The following is a 21668-nucleotide window of genomic DNA, read 5'->3' as shown; positions in this document are numbered from 1 at the left end:
ATTTGGGGATCAAGGGAATGCCAGAATTATGATATTAGTTTTATTACTAATTAATTAATTTATTTATTGAGACAGGGTCTCACTCTGTTGCCCAGGCTAGAGCGCAGTGGTGCGATCATGGGTCACTGCAGCCTTAGCCTCCTGGAGTAAATGATCCTCCCACCTCAGCCTGTGAGTAGCTGGGACTACAGGCACACATCACCATGCCTGGCTAGTTTTTTAAATTTTTTGTAGAGATGGGGGGTCTCACTTTGTTGCCCAGGCTGGTCCTCCTGCCTTGGCCTCCCAAAGTGTTGGGATTATAGGCATGAGCCACCATGCCCAGCCTGAATTAAGATATTAGTTTTAAAGAGCAGACTTTTGTAAGTGTGCATTAGTTTTGACAGTGTGACTGTGTTTTCAGGACACCAACCCACTGAGAGCTGATGAGAAATACATTTCTTGTATTTTTCTTTCCCCTGCAACGCTTGCCTTTAAATTTTTTTTTTAAATATGCATTTACTTTATTTCTTATTTTCATTAACCAACTGATTTCTGGTTTTGTCCCTGTGTATAAAAGATTGTAGGCCGGGCACAGTGGCTCATGCCTATAACCCCAGCACTTTGGCAGGCTGAGGTGGGCAGATTGTATTGCTTGAGTCCAGGAGTTTGAGACCAGCCTGGGCAACATGGTGAAACCCTGTTTCACGAAAAAAAAAAAAAAAAAAATTAGCCAGGTGTAGTGGTGCATGCCTGTAGTCCCAGCTATTCGGGAGGCTGAGGCATGAGAACTGCTTGAGCCCAGGAGGCTCTCTGAATTCTTATTTAGGTAGAAATGTAAAATTCTAGGGTTTGTTTTTATTGTTGTTGTTGTTGTTTTTGGCATATTGGAAGATTTTTAAATTTTCTCTTTTAAAAATATAGGCCGGGTGCAGTGGCTCACACCTGTAATCCCAACACTTTGGGAGGCCAAGGCCGGTGGATCACCTGAGGTCAGGAGTTCGAGACCAGCCTGGCCAACATAATGAAAGCCCATCTTTACTAAAAATACAAAAATTAGCCGGGCATGGTAGCACACACCTGTAATCCCAGCTACTCAGGAGGCTGAGGCAGGAGAATCGCTTGAATCTGGGAAGCGGAGGTTGCAGTGAGCCAAGATCGTGCCACTGCACTCCGGCCTGGGCGGCAGAGCGAGACTCTGTCTTAAAAAAAAAAAATTATATATATATAACAAGAATGAAGAGAGACATTTACTGGGACACCAATGGCATTGCCGTATCCTAGTATTTATTTCCCAGGTTTAAATCATATCTAATCTGATAAATTCATTTCCTTCAGACATGATTATTTTTCTCCATCTTATAAAATTAAAGTAACTAGGAATGTTTGGCTCAGAAAAGCAACAAATTAGGAGGAACATGGGAATTGTCTTCAAACAACTGAAGTATGGTCATGTTAGAAAAGATTTGATTCTTTTTGTATAGTCCCAGTGGATTGAACCTATGTATTGAATTTATAGTAAAACAGATTTCAGTTCAGTTTAAGGAAGAACTATCCTAACAGTCAAATCTGCTTAGAGAGGGAGTTGGCTGCCTAGGAAGGGAATGCAGTGGTCCCTCTTGAAGTTTTAATATATGAGTTGGATGACCTTCTCCTGGGTGTGTATGGTAAATTCAGATGTCGAGTGGATTATCATATTAGGTGGGCTATAAGGACTATCCCACCCTGAATTATTTACTAGGAAAAATGGGTGATGGAAAGAAACCAGATGATTAATACAGGATGAGAAAGGAGACACGGTTAATAGGGGATAAGAAAGGGGGAAATTGAGGGTTCGGAATGTCTCTCCCAACCATTAGAGCCCTAGAAAGTTCACGTTTTCTCTGCCAGAGACATTTAAGAAATTGTTGGCTCTGGTTTCATAAGAGGTTGTTCTGTAGAACTTGAGGAATTTTTGGCATTTTCACAGAGACTGAACAGTTCTGCTTCAGTAATGAGCCTCTGGCTGGAGTCATTGAGTGCTGCTAAATCAGAAGTGTCCAGGTTGTGGGCTTTAGGTGGGAGCAACAGCGTCTGTCAGTTGATTTCATTTCTTTCTAGTAATTTTCACAATTCGCTCTTATTGTTACATTAAACTAAACCTCAGCAACAGTAGTATTCAGGCTGAGACTATTCTCTTGTTCTGAACGTTTGGGTTTGTTTTTTCAGCTTCCATTTCTAGCTTTACTAAATAAAAATGTTGCATGAATATTCTCAGCACTGGAATTTGAAGTAGGAAGAAAGCTGAAGTCGACATGTCTTTGTTTTCAACTAAGATTTAGTGTTTTCTGGGGAGGAGTATGGTAAAGTTGGTAAGAGTATGCATTTTTGATATCAGGCCTGGATTTGGTTCTCAGCTCTACCATTCACCACCTGTATCACCTTAGACAAATAATCTAACTCCTCTGGACCTCAACTTCATCTGTAAACAGATAATATTTCTCATAGGGTCAATGATCATGTAAATTAGATAATATCCATAAAAGGAATATAATACATGGTAAGAGCTCATTAACTGTTAGCTGCTTTATTTTTGTGGTAGCGTGGAAACTTACTGTTTTTGTTGTTAGTGGTTATCTTGGAATGGACATTGGATTGAATATGTGCCTCCTTGTTAGCACATAGTGCTGTGAATAACATGTCTGGGTAGGGGTTAATTCCACAGTTACTCAAAAGGAAAGAAACCAATAAAGAAAAACAGAGGTTTAGTTTAAAAGGAGTAATATGGCCAGGTGCGGTGGCTCACCCCTGTAATCCCAGCACTTTGGGAGGCCTAGGCGGGCAGATCACGAGTTCAGGAGTTCGAGACAAGCCTGGCCAACATAGTGAAACCCCATCTCTACTAAAAATTCAAAAATTAGCTGGGCGTGTTGGCACACGCCTGTAGTCCCAGCTAGTCAGGAGGCGGAGGCAGGAGAATCGCTTGAACCTGGGAGGCGGAGGTTGCAGTGAGCTGAGATTGCACCACTGGACTCCAGCTTGGGTGACAGAACGAGACTTCATCTCAAAAAAAAAAAAAAAAGGAGTAATAAGTAATATACACTCTGCTATCTTTATTTCCTTCTCTCCTCTTTGAAGAAAAGCTCAGGTAGAAATAACAGATTCGGTAATCTTCTGTGTCAAAATATGCATAAAATGGTTGAGGTGATTGTGGGAGTGAGAAAAGAGAAGGATTGAAGTTCAAATCTTAAATGGCACAGACAAGGGGTTTACAGGGAGGAAGGTCAGAAGAGATATAAATGAAGAGTCAGATTAGTATTCAGGAAAGTACGTGGAACTGAAGTTGGGAGATCTGTTCTTCCAGTCTCACTTTCTCCATTCATGGTTTGTGCACCTTCCCTGCTATACAGACTGGACTTGAACACTAAGTCTTCAATAGCTGAGATTCTCCATCTTAATCTACTTGGAGGCAAGAGCAGGTGAATCAAGATAGTGTAATGTCTCAGAAACAGGAATTTCAAGAAGAAACAATGTCAGATGTTACAGAAATAAAGGAGGATGAGAGCTGGGAAAAGGATGGGATGCTCAGGAGGCCAATTTTTCTAGATTAGAGGGACAGAGAAATAGCTGCAATATGAGATTTACTATGGAACACCAGGTAATAAGAATTATCCCAGGTCCTCTTGCCAACTGTGTAGATAACATCGATGTTAATAAAAATTCTCTGATATGTCAGGAAAAATGTATTCATGTGCTTTCATCAATGGCCTATAAATTAAACTATTTGAGAGTTTTTTTTTTTTTTGAGACAGAATCTTGCCCTGTCGCTCAAGCTGGGGTGCAGCGGTGTGATCTTGGCTCACTGCAACCTCCGCCTCCCAGGTTCAAGCGATTCTCCTGCCTCAGCCTCCTGAGTAGCTGGGATTACAGGTGCGTGCCACCGTGCCTGGCTAATTTTTGTATTTTTAGTAGAGACGGGGTTTCACCATGTCAGTCAGGATGGTCTTGAACTCCTGACCTCGTGATCCATGCGCCTCGGCCTCCCAAAGTGCCAGGATTACAGGCATGAGCCACCGCACCCGGCCGAGAATTTTTTCAATTCAAAGTTGGAAGATAATTTTTAGTTTGTTGCTGGGTGAGATGGAGCTAAATCTCCTTGTTTCTCTTTAGAATTTTAATTGCAGTTCTCACTTGAAATGATTTTTTTTGTTTTTGTTTTTGTTTTGTAGATTGGTTGTTTCATTATGGATGGAGGGGATGATGGTAACCTTATTATCAAAAAGAGGTTTGTGTCTGAGGCAGAACTAGATGAACGGCGCAAAAGGAGGCAAGAAGAATGGGAGAAAGTTCGAAAACCTGAAGATCCAGAAGGTATACTGTGACAGTCAGTATAATGGTCTTTAATCCACACAGCAACCCTGCAGAGTAGGTATTAATTGTCCTCACTTGGTTTTATTTATTTATTTTTTTGAGACGGAGTCTCACTCTGTTGCCCAGGCTGGAGTGCAGTGGCGCGATCTTGGCTCACTGCAACCTCTGCCTCCCAGGCTCAGGAGATTCTCCTGCCTTAGCCTTCCGAGTAGTTGGGATTACAGGCACCAGCCACCACGCCTGGCTAATTTTTGTATTTTTGGTAGAGATGGAGTTTCATCTGTTGGCCAGGCTGGTTCCAAACTCCTGAGCTCAAGCCATCCTCCTGCCTCGGCCTCCCAAAGTGCTGGGATTACAGGTGTGAGCCACCATGCCTGGCCAATTGTCCATACTTTAGAGTTGAGGAACTGAGACTCAGGGGCGAAGTCACCTATGTAAGGTCCTGCACAGCTGGGAGCAGAGCCAGCATACTCACATCCTGCTTCTTTTCTGCCTACCACACTTCCTTCCAAGAGATTCTGCTCCTCTCCTCCATCTATACAGGTGGATCCATGGTCTGAACAACTGAGAACACTGCTGCTGTGGAGGGTTTGGGCTGGCCCCTCAATCAGTTAACTGTCTCAGGCCATGGGCGCTATTGACATTGATAGTTGGCTTTGAGAACTGGTGGCCCCTCTCTGAGGTCCAAAGGGAAACTGGACTTTGTACTATTTTTGTGTTATCCACACCCTCAGATCATGCAGAGACTTGACTTTGTCTTTAAAACCTTTTGTGATTCCAAAATAATATGAAAACAATCTGAAGTGTATATCTCCTCCCCGTCCACCTCTCTCCCCTCTCCTTTTCCTTTCAGAATGTCCAGAGGAGGTTTATGACCCTCGATCTCTATATGAAAGGCTACAGGAACAGAAGGACAGGAAGCAGCAGGAGTACGAGGAACAGTTCAAATTCAGTAAGCTTCAGAAAACAGAGAGTTCAAGGGGCTCTGTGGGGTACTTTTGACGCACTTTTGCCTTGTGCAGCACTTTTCCTAACTAGCCGTGGAATTGTCTTGATTTTCGAGTCTCCGGATGCTTATTTGGTGGAAAAGAGACAGCCTTCAGCCTTCTAGACCACATTGAATATTTTTGTTTAGAGCTCAAAACACCCATTTTAATTCTATGGTAATATTTAGTAATGGGAAAAAATGCCTTGTTTTTTTTTATGCCCTGTTATCTATTCAAACGCCATGGTATTTACCAGTTCTTTTTTTTTTAATCCCCTGAAGAATCTGCTGCTTATTTAAAAAGGGGAAAGGAAAAATCTTATTTTTCCCTTTAGCCTGCTAAGTGTGCCTTGTTTAATTATTTCCTCAGAAAACATGGTAAGAGGCTTAGATGAAGATGAGACCAACTTCCTTGATGAGGTTTCTCGACAGCAGGAACTAATAGAAAAGCAACGAAGAGAAGAAGAACTGAAAGAACTGAAGGAATACAGAATATCCTTTGTACTTGGAGGAAAACCTGTAAGGTGTCCATTTTCTCATCAGCATCTATGGATGTTGTCTCCTCATCAACAGAAAGAGGGTTTTCTACCTGGTGATCTCTCAAGTCCCTTTGAACACTGATATTCCTGTAATTCTGAAAAGCTGGTAGTGGTTTGTGGAGTTTGTGTTGTGTGCAAGAGTGTTATAGTCAAAAGTCCACATCCTTCTTAGGGTTAACTCAAGGCATCAATCCTACTAGTACTGGGATTAGATTCTGACACAGGTGGGCAGTGCAGTCAGCTTCATCCAGGGGAGAAATTGGGCTCTGAGTTTTAAAAGAACATGTTTAGCAACTTTCCTATATTCTTAGTAAGATGTTCTCTAGTGGTATAGCATGCCCTGTCCTGATAGAAGGGCTGAGAAAGCAGCAAAGATGACTTTGCTCTAGATCAGTGTTGCCTTTTGGTCATCCACTTGAATGTCTTCATAGACATCCCAAATGAAACTTGGCTGAATCAAAATTCTCAATACTGTGCCACATCACCCCCACTCTCATCACACTGCCCTTCCCCAAAGTCTCTTCTTTTTCTGGTCCTCCCAGTCCCAGTAACTGGTAGTCCTATGCCTCCAGGTGCCTGGGCCAAGAACTGTTTCCAAAACGTACTCCAAATCTCTTGAATTGTTGGTATCTACTGCTACTGTAGTAGTAGTAGACTTTCTTCTCGACTCCTGTGACCATCTAATTGGTTTGTTTCTGCTCTCATCCTCAATAATCTATTCCTTAGACAAGAAAGGGAACTTTAAAAACCATACATGGCATCATGTCACTTTTCTATTTGAAACAGTCTAGTGGGTTCCCCTTACATTTAGACTAAAGTCTTACTCTGTATCAGGCCGTAGAAGGTTCTACATTATTTAGGCCAACCCGCCTCCTTCTTGCATCTTGAAGCCACTCTTTCTCATGTTGACTGTACTGCAGCCTGCTGGCCTTCTTTATGTTCTCTTTCACCATGCTTTCTGAGTCAATCTCAGGGCCTCAGACTTGCTGTTTCCTCAGCCCAAAATGTTCTGCCCTCAGATTTTGCAAGATGCATTTCACAGCTCAGCCCTCTGCTCAGCTCTCCCTTTTAGAAACCTTCCCTAAGCACCCCACCTAAAATTGCTGTCGGTAATATCAATTTTTTTTTTTGAGATGGAGTTTCTCTCTTGTTGCCCAGGCTGGACTGCAGTGGCGCGATCTCGTCTCACTGCAACCTCCGCCTCCCGGGTTCAAGCGATTCTCCTGTCTCAGCCTCCCAAGTAGCTGGGGTTACAGGTGCATGCCACCACGCCCAGCTAATTCTTGTATTTTTAGTAGAGACGAGGTTTCATCATATTGGTCAGGCTGGTCTCGAACTCGTTACCTCAGGTGATCCGCCCACTCCAGCATCCCAAAGTGCAGGGATTACAGGCGTAAGCCACCGCACCCAGCAAGTAATATCATTTTTTATAGATTTGTCACTATCTGAAAGTTGTCTTTATTTATTTGCCTACTGGTTTGTTTATCTCTTTCCTGCTAGAATGTAAAGTAAATGAGCTCCATAAGAAAAAAGACTATCTGACTTGGTCACTTCTGATTTCTCCAGTGCCTGGCATATAGTAGATTCTCAGTAAATATGTGAATAAATTAATAAATGATTCATAGGAGATATTAATAGGACCATTTATCTTCATGTGAGGAAGCTTATTTGGATATTTCAAGCTTATATGTTGAGTAACATCACTGGTGTAATCCAACAGGCTTCACGTCTAAGATGGACGACATTACTGTGTATATGTACTAGTTGGTATTTTCTTGCAGAGAATGTGCAGCACATTCCATTTTAAGAGTTACGTGGGAGGCCTGGACACAGTGGCTCACGCCTTTGATTCCAGCACTTTGGGAGGCCGAGGCAGGAGGATCGCTTGAGGTCAGGAGTTTGAGACCAGCCTGGCCAAAATGGTGAAACCCTGTCTCTGCTAAAAATACAAAAATTAGCCGGGCATGGTGGCTTGTGCCTGTAGTCCCAACTACTCAGGAGGCTGAGGCAGGAGAATCGCTTGAACCTGGAAGGTGGAGATTGCAGTGCGCCAAGGTCACGCCACTGTACTCCAGGCTGGGGACAGAGCAAGACTTTATCTTAAAAAAAAAAAAAAAAAAAAGCGTTGTATGGGAGAAGACATGGACAGATTCCCTGATTCCCTGGGAATTGATTTACATCAGAACTGGTAGGAAAAGACCTGGCTTCCAGTCCCAGTTCTGTTACTGGCATTCAGGTGCAACATGGAGATGGAAGCTCATGGGAAGTTATACCTCAATCTCAACTGTAGGATTGAGGCTGATTATTCTGAACTCCCCCTTCCCTGACCCTGATGACCCCAAAATAATATGTGTTCGTTTGTAGAGATAGGCAGATACCCATATTGTGTTGTTTCAGACACCAAGCTTTTTCCTCTAAGGAAATACATTCATTACACTTCTCACTTGAATGATATTATGTTTTATTTTGGTAGACTAGCAAATAAGACATATAGTGTCCCCCAAAGTAGCATCTGGGGAGAAGTGCTGTTGAGTGTGAGATGCCCTTTGGTTTTCAATTAAAAGGAAAGAATGAACAGGGCAGCAGTGAGACAAAAGAAACCTTTGTGTCCTGGTAACATTGCAGTACAATGAGGCTCCAGGGATAAGGGCTTTAACTGGAAACTTGGAAAGTTCTGTCTAGAAAAACTGAAGAAAAGCAGGCCTTCCAAGTCACTGACATCTAATACACTAATCCCAAGCATGCAAGTAGCCAGAGACATGTTGAGATAGGAATTGAAGGATTAGACATTTGTTTATTGAAGCTCTAAGTTAGGAACTGTTTCTAGGCTTTGCTTGATTACTATATGATATGTTGTATAATAGGATACTTCTGAATACAAATAAGCTGTGGTTTAAACCATGTAAATAACAGAACTCTTGTTTCGTCTCAGGTTAAACCAGTATTTAGCAGTATTGTGTATGTTAAAAAACGGTGCAATTTTAAGAGAATGCTGATCTAATGAATTTCTTGAGATTTTTGAGGTGTGTTTGTGTTTTTAAAGCATTTTGGGAGAAGAGGGGCTTAAGAAGGAAAAATTGCTTGTACTTTGCGGATCAAAAATAAGATTATTAACACCCCCTACCCCTAAAAGGTTAGGACTTTTCTTCATTTCAAAAGAATAAAAAGTTAAATGTTGGGTTTTGTCTATGTCGTGGTATAAATAATGTATAAATATATACATGCTTTTGTTGTGTTTTTTTTCCATTTTTGTTTTTTTTTAATATTTAATATTGAGAGTTTTGAGAACTTCTGTCTCCTAATGATGGAGTTGCAGATAAAAAATCACAACATGCTAATTTTTTTTTGGCATTCTCTCCTAGAAAGATGAAATCTTTTTTTTTTTTTTTTTTTTTTTTTTGAGACAGAGTTTCGCTCTTGTTACCCAGGCTGGAGTGCGGTGGCACGATCTCAGCTCACCACAATCTCTGCCTCCCGGGTTCAAGCGATTCTCCTGGCTCAGCCTCCCGACTAGCTGGGATTACAGGAATGTGCCACCACACCCAGCTAATTTTTTGTCTTTTTAGTAGAGACAGGGTTTCTCCATGCTGGTCAGGCTGGTCTTGAACTCCCGACCTCAGTTGATCTGCCCACCTCGGCCTCCCAAAGTGCTAGGATTACAGGCATGAGCCACTGTGCCTGGCCAATCTATTTTTTTTTAAATAAAAATGAGTATTAACATTATCTATTTCCATGATGACCCTAAAAACATTAAATTCATTAAACTCATAATAGTACTAAGCATTATATCTAATTTCCATTGCATACTGCAAATATTTAAGGTAACTTGTGCCCATAAGAACAGAGTTAGTTGCCTGGAGAGTGATTAGAATTAGAATCTTAGGATTTCTGGAAAATCTTAGGATTTTCTCCATTGTTCAAAGACACGTAGATAAATAACCTTAACCATACATCCTCTACTTCCACCCACCTTTTTGGGCTGATAATTCATGCTTCTTAGATTTCCTGGGCACTAGATGTCACTATTGTTCCAGGCACTAGTGCATCTTAAATAAGGACTTGCACTGTGTCAGAATACTTATCTGTTGTCTAAGACGTTTCAAGAGAGAGCATAAAACGGAGGGAGAAGTGGAGGGAGAGGAGGGAGGGCTGGTGGAGGGAACAAGTGAAAGTGACCTCCCCGACAAAAATATGGGGCCTTTCTTCACTTCAAAAGAGTAAAAAGTTGAGAGCCAGAGATTGGCATCAAGAACGAAAAACTGATGTTACAAGCGAACTGGTCATGCTTTTAAAAATAGCTTTTCAGTTCTTGTATATATGCACAGGATTTCTCATTAAAATCACCTTTGATTGTTTCTTGGCCTTTTGGCTAAGATCAAGTGTAAAATCACCTTCAGAGAGTGTTTAAAACAAACTCCCGGGCCTCTAGAGGTCTCATTCAGTAGGTTTGGGGCAGGGAGGGACTTGACATGTTTAATGAGCCTTGGGGTGATTCTGATGTTTCCTTGCACCAGTGGAGCAGGAGTTAGTCTTCGTGATGTCTAAGATTAATTGCCACTGATAGTCAGAACAACATTCTGCAAAATTTGATTTAACCCTTGAAGGGGGAAGCATGTTTTCAGGGAAGCCACATTTTTTTTTCTGTTTTCTTTATATTCCTTAAGATCTGTTTTCCTCATCAAGCATGATATTGGCCATGTCCTTGGTAATAGTGGGTTTTGTGGCTATGCTCAGATTTTCATTGAGAATCAGAGGAAAAGGTTGCTTATCTGTATTATTTTGGGCTTTATATGCTGTCTTCCTCCATGGTCTCTTTCATTTATCTTTGAATTGGCTGGATTTGACTGGCAGAATAAAGAAGGGTGGGGCATTTATTTAAATAAGTAGGCCAGACATTACATCGCACAGCCGAAGGGCTAGTGGGTTATATTTGTTGTCTTCCCTTTTGCTTAGTTTGACCCTTAACTGGTAACTCACAATAACCTCAAGAAGGTTGGAATTTCTCAAGAGAACAAGAAGGAAGTGGAAAAGAAACTGACTGTGAAGCCTATAGAAACCAAGAACAAGTTCTCCCAGGCGAAGCTGTTGGCAGGAGCTGTGAAGCATAAGAGGTTAGTCAGCACTCACACAACTCAGATTTCTCTCTGACCGTGTACTCTGAAACACCACTTGTAATGGAAGCCAGAGCCAACGCTTGCCTCGCGTGAGTCCTGGTGAAGTTCCCTTGGTGTGCTCACCTATCTCTCCCTTTCCAGATTTGAGGCCTTCTATAGGCTTTGACCCTCGTCTCTCTGATCACTTATTCAACAAATATAAATAATAGCTACTCTTCAGTGGGGATCTGCCACACCAGGCATTGTGTTAAGTGCTTCCTGTGCATAATCCCATGTATTCTTCAACAACCCTATGAAGTACAATTATAATCCCTGTTTTGTAGATGAGAAGACCAAGAGTTTGAGAGGTTGAGACCCTTCTTTGTGCAAGATCATAGAGAAACAGAGAGCTAGAGTTCATTATTTGGGCTTCTGTCTAGAAAAATGAGGTAGTGAGTCTTGTGAAAGGATCTGTGTAGGGTGTACTGAGAGCAAGGAGGAGGAGCATACAATGCTGCTGGGAGGGTGTTGTGTGCATCTTCATGTTGGGGAGGTTGGGGGAAACCATTGGAAAGATGCTGATTAGGTAGGACAACTAGGGCTTTGACAAGCAACAAGGGAGAGAACAGTCTAAGCAGAGGGAATAGCTGCTGCAAAGGCATCCTGTCCTGAAAGAACATGGCAGCCCTGGCAGGGTTACAGACCTGGCTGTGGCTAGGTTTGGATTGATGTGGAAGTGATAGCACTGTCTCAAGGCTATGATAAGTTCTTTGCTATGTTTGCTCCTCCCTTTCCAAATCCTGAAATGTCATCAGAGTGATTGAATCTGGTCATTTAGATTTGACCCAACAGACTGTGGGCGAAATGATAAGTTTAAGTGCAGTCTATTAGGAAAATCAATATGATATATTGGCAACCAGCCATATGTTTTGAAGGGAGTGTATTGATGCAGTCTTGTGGTTTGGCACACCACCCATCTGCTGCAGATGTTCTTAGGAACACTGCCTACATGTAAAAATGTCATGCTGGTATAGCAACAGAGGGGAGGAGTTATCCTGAGAAGGGCTCGCTACCCAAACCATGAATTATTCCTTTCAAGTTCTCACATAAGCTTTCCTGCAAGACTAGGGACTCGCAGGATTTGGACCTGGGTCAGTTTTACTGGAATATGCCAAGGGAGGGCTCTCCAGGTGATCAATTTGTTATCCCTTGAGACTGCTCTTGGTGGTCGCAGAATGGGTGTTGTAACTGTTTCCCTTAGTTCTTAGATCACCTTTAGAAAAGGCTCTGTAGTAGCGTATTTGGTGACCTGCATATAACCCCTTTTGGGTTTTGAAACAACATCATTTAATGTTTCTTTGTGTAGTAAGGTAGTCTCCTGGGGCAGGAGTTCCTAATCTGTCCGACCCTGAGTTTATTGGAATCACCTGGGAGTTTGTTAATAATTTATATTCGCAGGCCTTGCACTAATTCTGGTTCAGTAAGTTTGAAGTGAAGTCTGGGAGTCGTAGTTTTCAAAGTTCCATGAGTGATTCTGCTGCCTGGTGAAGGTCTGGAAGCCATTGGCATGTATATGTCATGAAGCATAAGACCAAAACAAGCAGCAATTTCTTACCTTCTTCAAAGGAATATTCTTTACTCTCTTCTAGTTTATTCTTTTATTTATTGTTAGAAAAAACTGTCAGATACCTAGTTCATGAATGTGCAGTCTTTTTAGTTATGAGCATCTGAAGCTATAAATTTTCCTTAACTTTCATTGTATATGAGTTTTATATTTCCTTCTAAGTATTTTAAAATATCCATTATGATTTCTTCTTTGACTCAGGAATTATTTAGAAATGTATTTTTTAAATCTCCATATTGAGGTAACAACCATATTTCAGTGAGGGGAAAGATAAGCCTTCCCCCTCGCCACACACGTTTTAACACCTTATGATGATATATATATATATATATAACAGTGTCTTAGAGGCTGCAAAATATGTTTCTCTTTTGTCATTGATTTCCAACTTAATTGCATGTGGTTTTGTATACTCTGATTCTCTTTTCTTTTTCTTTTCTTTTTCTTTTTCTTTTTTTTTTTTTGAGCTGGAGTTTCACTCTTGTCGCCCAGGCTGGAGTGCAATGGCGCAATCTTGGCACACCTGTGCCTCCCGGGTTCAAGCGATTCTCATGCCTCAGCCTCCCAAGTAGCTGGGATTACAGGCATGCACCACCTTGCCTGGCTAATTTTGTATTTTTTGTAGAGACAGGGTTTCACCATGTTGGCCAGGCTGGTGTCAAACACCTGACCTCAGGTGATCCGTCCGTCTTGGCCTCCCAACGTGCTGGGATTACAGGCGTCAGCCACCGCACCCGGGCCTCCCACATAAGTCTTAAATGGAACCTGCTGTGTACTCCCTGCAAGAAAATACCAACTAGTACATACACACAGTAATGTCCCCAGTCTTAGAGGTGACTTCAGTATGGTCTGTTGAACACCACAAACTAGACATTATTTTTTGATACAGTATTTGTTTAGATTTATATTTGTATTTGCCAGTTTATTTGTTCACCACCCCTTCCTTCTGGGGTCCCTTCCTTCTGGGATCATTTCTTTCTTCATTGAAATACATTCCTTATACATTGTTTTAGTGAAAATCTTGTGGGTGACTCTCAGAATCTCTAGCATGTCACTAAAGATGTTTTCTTCAATCTGTAATTACTAAATGTTTGTCATTTATGAACATGTCTAAATATTCTTGAAATCCATCTGTGGTTCTAACCAATTTGAGTGATAAAGACGGCCAAGAATCTGAAGTTGAAGTGATGGTTGATACAGTGCTTTATTTCCTGGATTTGTCAGGAGTTTAAATTGTCTTTATGACTGATGATGCAATTGGAAGGAGATTAAGAATCTGAAATGAATACTTTTCATTCATTTTTATCATCCCAGCCTCTTGAGACTGCCTAAGACCCATATAAATAGTTATTGGAGCTCCTGATTCCCTAAGCTTTGATCCACAAGATTGGACATGGCTCAAGTCACCATGTGTTTTGTTACAGCTCAGAGAGTGGCAACAGTGTGAAAAGACTGAAACCGGACCCTGAGCCAGATGACAAGAATCAAGGTGGGTGGCAGCCTTCATTACTTCCTTGTACTCAGAATACACATGAACCACAGTAAAGGGCTGTAATGCATTGCTTCTGCAAATGAATGCATTTCTGTCTTCAAGCAAGCCTACCTATGCTTAATTTACCCAACTTTTTTATGCCAGGCAGGATTTTATTACCAGGCCAGAGTTTATACCAGGCAGGATTTTATACCTGCAAAAGTTATTATATTAGAAACCAGTGAAACTGATCAATGAAAATAGTACTCTCCCAGGAGTGCTTACCAGGCCCTGGTCATACCACCTCTGCTCACAAAAGGTGTTTTTCTGTTTCCCCCAAATGTCAGGTTTCTTGATTTCACCTGGTTTGCTACCAGTGGGAGGTAAATACCTGGCTCCTGCTCATTGTTGTACTGGATTGAGCCTAGAAGCTTAATACAATCTCAAGGAGTATACTTCTTTGGTTTTTACTTTTATGTGATGAAATCTGCCTCTGTATTAAGAGGCAAGAACTTGTAAGTGAAGGTGAATGTTACTGGGGCTGGATTAGGGATGAGAAATTCGAGTGTGTTTTCAGTTTTATTCTAACTCCATGTGGGATTGAGACTCTGAACTAAATTCCATCGATCAACAGGGCTTACATTAATTTCTCTCAAAAAAAGATGATGCTTTTTAATATGCATCTACTAAGCACCAGTGGTGGTGGTCTGTTGCTGTTACCCTTTTGGTCTAGAACCTACTTTTAAAAAGAAGAGTCTGGGGGAAAAAAAAAGGAGCCTGCCTTTTACCCGTATCTCTTCCATCTAGTTCTCCTTAGAGGGAAACAGAATTATACTTTTTTTTTTCTTTTTTTTGAGATGGAGTCTCACTCTGTCACCCAGGCTGGAGTGCAGTGGCTCAATCTCAGCTCACTGCAACCTCCGCCTCCTGGGCTCAAGTAATTCTCCTGCCTCACCCTCCCGAGTATTTGGGATTACAGGCGTGCGCCACCACACCTGGCTAATTTTTGTATTTTTAGTAGAGACAGGATTTCACCATGTTGGCCAGGCTGGTCTTGCACTCCTGACCTCAAGTGATCTGCCTGCCTCGGCCTCCCAAAGTGCTGGGATTACAGGAGTGAGCCACCAAGCCCAGCCACATTTCTTATGTAGCCATCAAGAGCTATTCTATGCATGTGCAAGCAATTGTAAATATGTATCTTTTAAATGCTTTATTATGGATAATTTAAGCAATATTCAGAAGTTGGAATAAGTATAATAAACCCCCATTACCAAGCTTCACTGATTTTTTTTTTTTCTTTGTAAGGTATCTCCTACAGGAAAGACCGTCAACAATTTTTTTTTTTTTTTTTTTTGAGACAGGGTCTTGCTCTATCACCCAAGATAGAGTGTAGTGGGGTTATCTTGGCTCATTGCAGCCTCTGCCTTCCTGGTTTAAGCAATTTTCATGCCTCAACCACCCAGGTAGCTAGGACTACAGGCATGTGCCACCACGCCCAGCTAATTTTTGTATTTTTAGTAGAGACGGGATTTCGCCATGTTGGCCAGGCTGGTCTCGAACTCCTAGCCTCAAGTGATCCACCTGCCTCGGCCTCCCAAAGTGCTGGGATTACAGGTGTGAGCCACCACACCCAGTCAGCAGTTTTTAACACATAGCCAATTTTATTTCATTTATATCTCTCAACTGTAATATTTTGTGACAATTCCAGACATTATATCATTTCATTCATAATTCTTAATATATGTCTCTAGCAAATACAAGTTCTTATTTTGTTTCTTTGTTTTAACAATTACAGTACCATTATATTAATAATCACAGGCCAGGCGCAGTGGCTCATGCCTATAATCCCAACACTTTGGGAGGCTGAGGCAGGCAGATCACCTGAGGTTGGGAGTTTGTGACCAGCCTGACCAACATGGAGAAACCCTGTCTCTACTAAAAATACAAAATTAGTCGGGCTGCTGGCTATGCCTGTAATCCCAGCTCCTCAGGAGGCTGAGGCGGAAGAATCGTTTGAACCTGGGAGGCAGAGGTTGCGGTGAGCCGAGATTGCACCATTGCTCTCCAGCCTGGGCAACAAGAGCGAGACTCTGTCTCAAAAATAATAATAATAATAATCACAGTAATTACCAAATATTATCGAATATTAAGTTAGTATTTTCTCCAATTGTCTCAAAAAAGTTTTTTCTTTTTAAAAATTATGATCTTGGCCGGGCGCGGTGACTCCCACCTGTAATCCCAGCACTTTGGGAGCCGAGGCGGGTGAATCACGAGGTCAGGAGATCAAGACCATCCTGGCTAACACGGTGAAACCCCGTCTCTACTAAAAATACAAAAAATTAGCTGGGTGTGCTGGCGGATGCCTGTAGTCCCAGCTACTCGGGAGGCTGAGGCAGGAGAATGGCATTGAACCCAGGAGGTGGAGCTTGCAGTGAGCAGAGATCACGCCACTGCACTCCAGCCTGGGTGACAGAGGGAGACTCCGTCTCAAAAAAAAAAAAAAAAAAAATTATGATCTTAGCAAGGACCAGACATTATATTTGGCTACTATGGCTTTTTTTTAAAAAAGTATTGAGGTATAATTCACATACCATAAAATTCACCCTTTAAAAGGATACGACTCAGTGGTTTATATTTTTTAAAAATCAGTTGACCATAAATGTGTGGGTTTATTTCTGGACTCTCTTCTTCCACTGAGCTATATATGTCTATCTGTATGCCATTAGCACACAGTCTTGATCACTATAGCTTTGGAGTAAGTTTTAAAATTGGGAAGTGTGAGTCTTCCAACTTGGCTCCTCTTTTTCAAGATTGTTTTGGCTATTTGGAGTCTCGAATTTCCATATGAATTTTGGGATCAGCTTGTCAGTTTTTGCAGAAAAGGCAGTTACGATTTTGATACAGGAATTGTTGGAATCTGTAGATTAATTTGGCAATGTTGCCATCTTAGCAGTAGGCTAATATACCTTTTAATTTGAATTTAATCTGTAAGTTCTTCCTTTCTAAATTTATATTTTGTTTTCTTTGTATTTTATTTGTGGAGAAACTGGGTCTTTGTTCTTTAGCATTTCTCTGGCTCTAGATTTTACTGATTGCATCCCCATGCTGTTTCCTGCTACCTTGTGTTTCCTGTAAAATGGTAGTTTGATCTGGAAGGTTGATCAAGTTGGTTTTTTCGGCAAGAATACATTATATACTGTTTTCATACTTTCATTGTTAGTAGTATTTTAATCTAACCTACTCTGTTCATTGCTTAATTCAGCAGTTATTGTACCTTGGGAATCATTGCATAACTGGACATAGAGCACTTCCTCGTTCCTTTTTAAGGCTGTGTAGTATTGTATATTGCATGGGTATATCATTTATCCTACTTTTTAATTGATGAACACTTAGATTGTTTCATTCTTTCCCTGTTCTGATGTTTCAGTAATAATCCTGCACATGCATAATTTTTCACATGCACAGATCTATCAGGTTAAATACTTTGAAGTAGACTTGATAGGTCAGAGAGGATATACATTTGTAATTTAGGTAAATATTGCCAAATTGCCCTTCAAATAAGTTATCCCAATTTATACTCCCATCAGCAATTTTGGAATTTTTCACTGACATCTTTTTAATAAATAGGAAATTTGCTTAAATAGGATAAATGTATACTGTATATGTGTATACACACACACACATAAAGCTTCATAGGAATATTTTTCTTTTTTTTTTTTTTTGAGACGGAGTCTCGCTCTGTCGCCCAGGCCGGACTGCGGACTGCAGTGGCGCAATCTCGGCTCACTGCAAGCTCCGCTTCCCGGGTTCACGCCATTCTCCTGCCTCAGCCTCCCGAGTAGCTGGGACTACAGGCGCCCGCCACCGCGCCCGGCTAATTTTTTGTATTTTTAGTAGAGACGGGGTTTCACCTTGTTAGCCAGGATGGTCTCGATCTCCTGACCTCATGATCCACCCGCCTCGGCCTCCCAAAGGGAATATTTTTCTTTTAATTAATTTTTTTTTAGAGATAGGATCTCACTTTGTTGCTTAGGCTGTAGTGCAGTGACTATTCACAGGTGCAGTCATGGCACACTACAACCACAAACTCCCAGGCTCAGGTAATCCCCCACGTGAGCCTCCTGAGTAGCTGGGGTTAAATGCTCTTGGCATAGGAATCTTAAATGTATTTCTACAAGTAAGCTAGTCGCTCTTTATATGGTACTTATTTCCTGGTAGGAACTATACAAATGAATCAGTGGAAAGGAAAACTTGTGTGGATTCTTTGAACTATCTCAGGCAGACAGCTGTGTTTCAGAGCCATCTTTTTGTCATTCTAAATCCCTTCTTCCTACTCCTGCATTCTTGCAACAGAAACCAGGCAGGAAGTGTCCTCCTTTGCTAGGAATTAAGGCTCCACAAGAAGAACGCTCCCTGAAGCTTGCTTCAGCCCTGTCCTTAGCAGTGGGAGGATTTCCGTCTTGGGCCCCTATGACTCTGATAGAAATTCAGGCTTCCCCCAGCGAAGATTTTGAACTTAAGCACTGAGCAGAGCCAGTGAATGCACAAGTTGGCCCCATCTACTCCCAAGTCACGCATCTGTCTGAATACTAAGAACATTCTCTATTAGTAATTTTCTGTGTTAATTTGGTATGACAATGTGGTCCTGCAAATGCAGAAGTTGGCAGGAAACTTCACCAAATGGGTGAGATCAGAGGGCACCATTTTGTTCTCTTTGGACAGTTAACTGCTTTTGGAATGAAATTTGTCAGATTTGCAATCTCTTTTCTTTCTTGAAACCTCCTAGATAATTGGGGTATTTGGTCTCTTCACTTAAACTCTTCTGATACCACAGTGGTCCAGATTCCTTGATTATATTTCTGTAGCTAACTTCCATTCTTCCGTTAGGCCAGTTCTCTACCCCCACAGGCACTCTGACTTTCATCCTTCTTTTCTATGTAAAATAGAACTTTAAATTCCATTCGCCCTTGAAATATGGTCATGTGCCACATAACGCCATTTTGGTCAATGATGGGTGCATATATGATGGTGGTCCCATAAGATCATAATATCGTATTTTTACTATGCCTTTTTCTATGCTTAGCTATGTTTAGATACACAAATACTGACCATTGTATTACAGCTGCCTACAGTATTCATACAGTAACATGCTGTACAGGTTTGTAGCCTAGGAGCAATAGGCTATATACCATGTGGCCTACATGTGTAGTAGGCTATACCATCTAGGTTGTATAAGTATTCTATGATGTTCACAACAATGGAATTGTCTAATGATGCATTTCTTAGGTCATATTCCCATCATTAAGCAGGGGTGTCTGTACTTGATAAAATGAAATACCTCATTCAACAATTTCACATAAATTAGTTTTCTAGGTAACTGATCTATATATCCTTTTAAGGTTTTTTTTCTTTGTTGGTTTGTTTTTTTATTTTGAGACAGTCTAGCTCTGTCACCCAGGCTGGAGTGGGGTGGTGCGATCCCGGCTCACAGCAACCTTCACCTCCCAGGCTCAAGCGATTCTTCTGCCTCAGCCACCCAAGTAGCTGGGATTACAGGGGTGTGCCACCACGCCTGGCTAATTTTTGTATTTTTAGTAGAGACAAGGTTTCCCTGTGTTGGCCAGGCTGGTCTCGAACCCCTGACTTCAGGTGGTCCACCCGCCCCAGTCTCCCAAAGTGTTGGGATTACAGGCGTGAGCCACCACGCCTGGCTGGTTTGTTTTTTTTAAACAACCAAATTTTTCTAACAGAATGCTGAAAATATCATTCTATCTGGTATACATAAGTACTACAATGTATTTTTAAGTCATGAATGGTATAGTTTGATGTTATGTTCCAAATGTTAAAAGAGCATCACATTTTTATACCCCTTCCCCCCAAATTAGCCATTTGCAATGAAACTGTAAACTGTCTGACACATTTTCCTGCATTCTGATTTCTGACCCTTGTGAATGCAAGCCTGCTCTGAGCCAGGCCCTGTGCTATATGTCCTGGGGGTGGAATGGTGATAAAAGAATGCTTGCCTTCAAGGGGCTTACCGTTAGTGGAGAATACACACAAGCAACCCCTCTCATCTTCTACAGCCTTCTTAGCTTTAATACTGGGATGCTCTTGGGGTTACAGAGATAAATGGGACTATTCCTCCCTAGTTTAAGGGCTCAGGATGTTCTTTGAATTTTTGTATTTGCTTTTTTAAAAAATTGTCTACCCAAGCACAGCTGCATTTTAAAAAACTGTCTGAATTGGTAATATATGCACATAATAAAACATTTAGGCCAGGCTAGGTGGCTCATGCCTGTAATCCCAGCCCTCTGGGAGGCTGAGGCGGGAACATCACTTGAGCCCAGGAGTTTAACCTGGGCAGCATAGTGAGCCTTATGTTCTTAAAAAAAAAAAAGAAAAAAAAGAAAAGGAAAAATTCAAAAGGGACAAAAGAATGTGGAGTAAAAAGTAAGTCTCCCCCATTTTCCAGCCACTCATTTCCTTTCCCCTGAGCAGCCTCTGCTACCAGTTTTTATTTATTGTTCTCAGACACTGACATGCATCTACATGGGCATGGCCACTTTGCCCCAGATTGTAACTTTCACACACTGTCCTGCTCCTTGCCTTTTTCATTTAGCACAATATCTTGGGGATCATTCAATAACAGTACACACAGAGATGCTTTCTTCTTCTTCTTCTTCTTCTTTTTTTTTTTTTTTTTTTGGAGATAGGTTCTCGCTCTGTCACCCAGTTTGGAGTTCTGTGGTGCGATCATGGCTCACTGCAGCCTCAGCTTCGCCAGTTCAAGTGGTCCTCCTACCTACCTCAGCCTCCTGAGTAGCTGGGACTACAAGTGTGCACCACCACACCCGGCTAATTTTTTAAATTTTTTGTAGAGACAGAGTCTCCCTGTGTTGTTCAGGCTGTTCTCAAACTCCTGGGCTCAAATGATCCTCCTGCCTTGGCCTCCCAAAGTGCTGGGATTACAGGCATGAGCCATTATGCTCAGCTACTTTATTCTTCTTCATGGTTGAATAGTAGTCCATTACTTAACTAGTCATCTATTAATGGACATTTTGGTTGTCAGTACTCTTTTGCTACTATAAACAGTGCTGCAATGAATGTTCTCTTATGAACATCATTTAAGTTCGAAGAACTTTGCCAAATTTCTCTGTACTCCCTGAACAGCAAATGAAGTTTGCTGTTCCTAACATGTTCCCTCCTAATATATTGTTTATCCCGTTATGTTTAAAATTCATCTGTTTCTTTTTCTTTGAGTTGTTCATGTTTTCCATTCACTTTTCTATTTGGTTGTTGGTTGTTTTTTTAACAGATTTGGAAGAACTCTTAGTATCTTAAGGAAATTTGCTTTTATGATAGTACAAGTATTTGCTCCTGCCTTTTTTTTGTAGCCTTGCTCTATCTCTGTAGCCACTGTCGGCTTTCATTTGACTTTTCTCCATCTCCGTGTTTTAACATTGCTTATCTTTGGCAACTTCCTTTTCCCTTCTTAGAGCTTCTTGCACAAACAAGCAAATACATTGATCTCCTGAACTTTGTGTGCGGGCCGTTTGATATCTCTTCTAACTGCTCAGTGGTATTGTTTGCTTACTCCTGGTTTCCTATACTTGGAACTGTGTATTCTTTT

The 21668-nt window shown here is 41.4% G+C and overlaps 1 protein-coding gene across 43 annotated transcripts in view; it reads left to right on the top strand.

Annotated features, from left to right (window-relative positions):
* The window catches only part of PSME3IP1 (proteasome activator subunit 3 interacting protein 1), a 33651-nt gene that overhangs the window by 8060 nt on the left and 3923 nt on the right, over window positions 1-21668 (top strand). For 16 of the 43 annotated variants that reach the window (NM_001354078.1, XM_047434681.1, XM_047434680.1 and 13 more), the window contains 5 exons: window positions 4188-4329; window positions 5183-5281; window positions 5685-5806; window positions 10831-10964; window positions 13992-14056. In NM_001354078.1, coding sequence (NP_001341007.1) covers window positions 4203-4329; window positions 5183-5281; window positions 5685-5806; window positions 10831-10964; window positions 13992-14056 — 547 coding nt within the window. In that variant the 5' untranslated portion in view covers window positions 4188-4202. The other 27 variants (NM_001354082.1, XM_047434678.1, XM_024450454.2 and 24 more) reach the window with 9 other exon arrangements.

This window comes from Homo sapiens, chromosome 16, assembly GCF_000001405.40.
Source record: "Homo sapiens chromosome 16, GRCh38.p14 Primary Assembly".
NCBI lineage: Eukaryota > Metazoa > Chordata > Mammalia > Primates > Hominidae > Homo > Homo sapiens.
The sequence above is the reverse complement of the archived record's forward strand: the minus strand, read 5'-3'. Positions and strand labels throughout refer to the sequence as shown.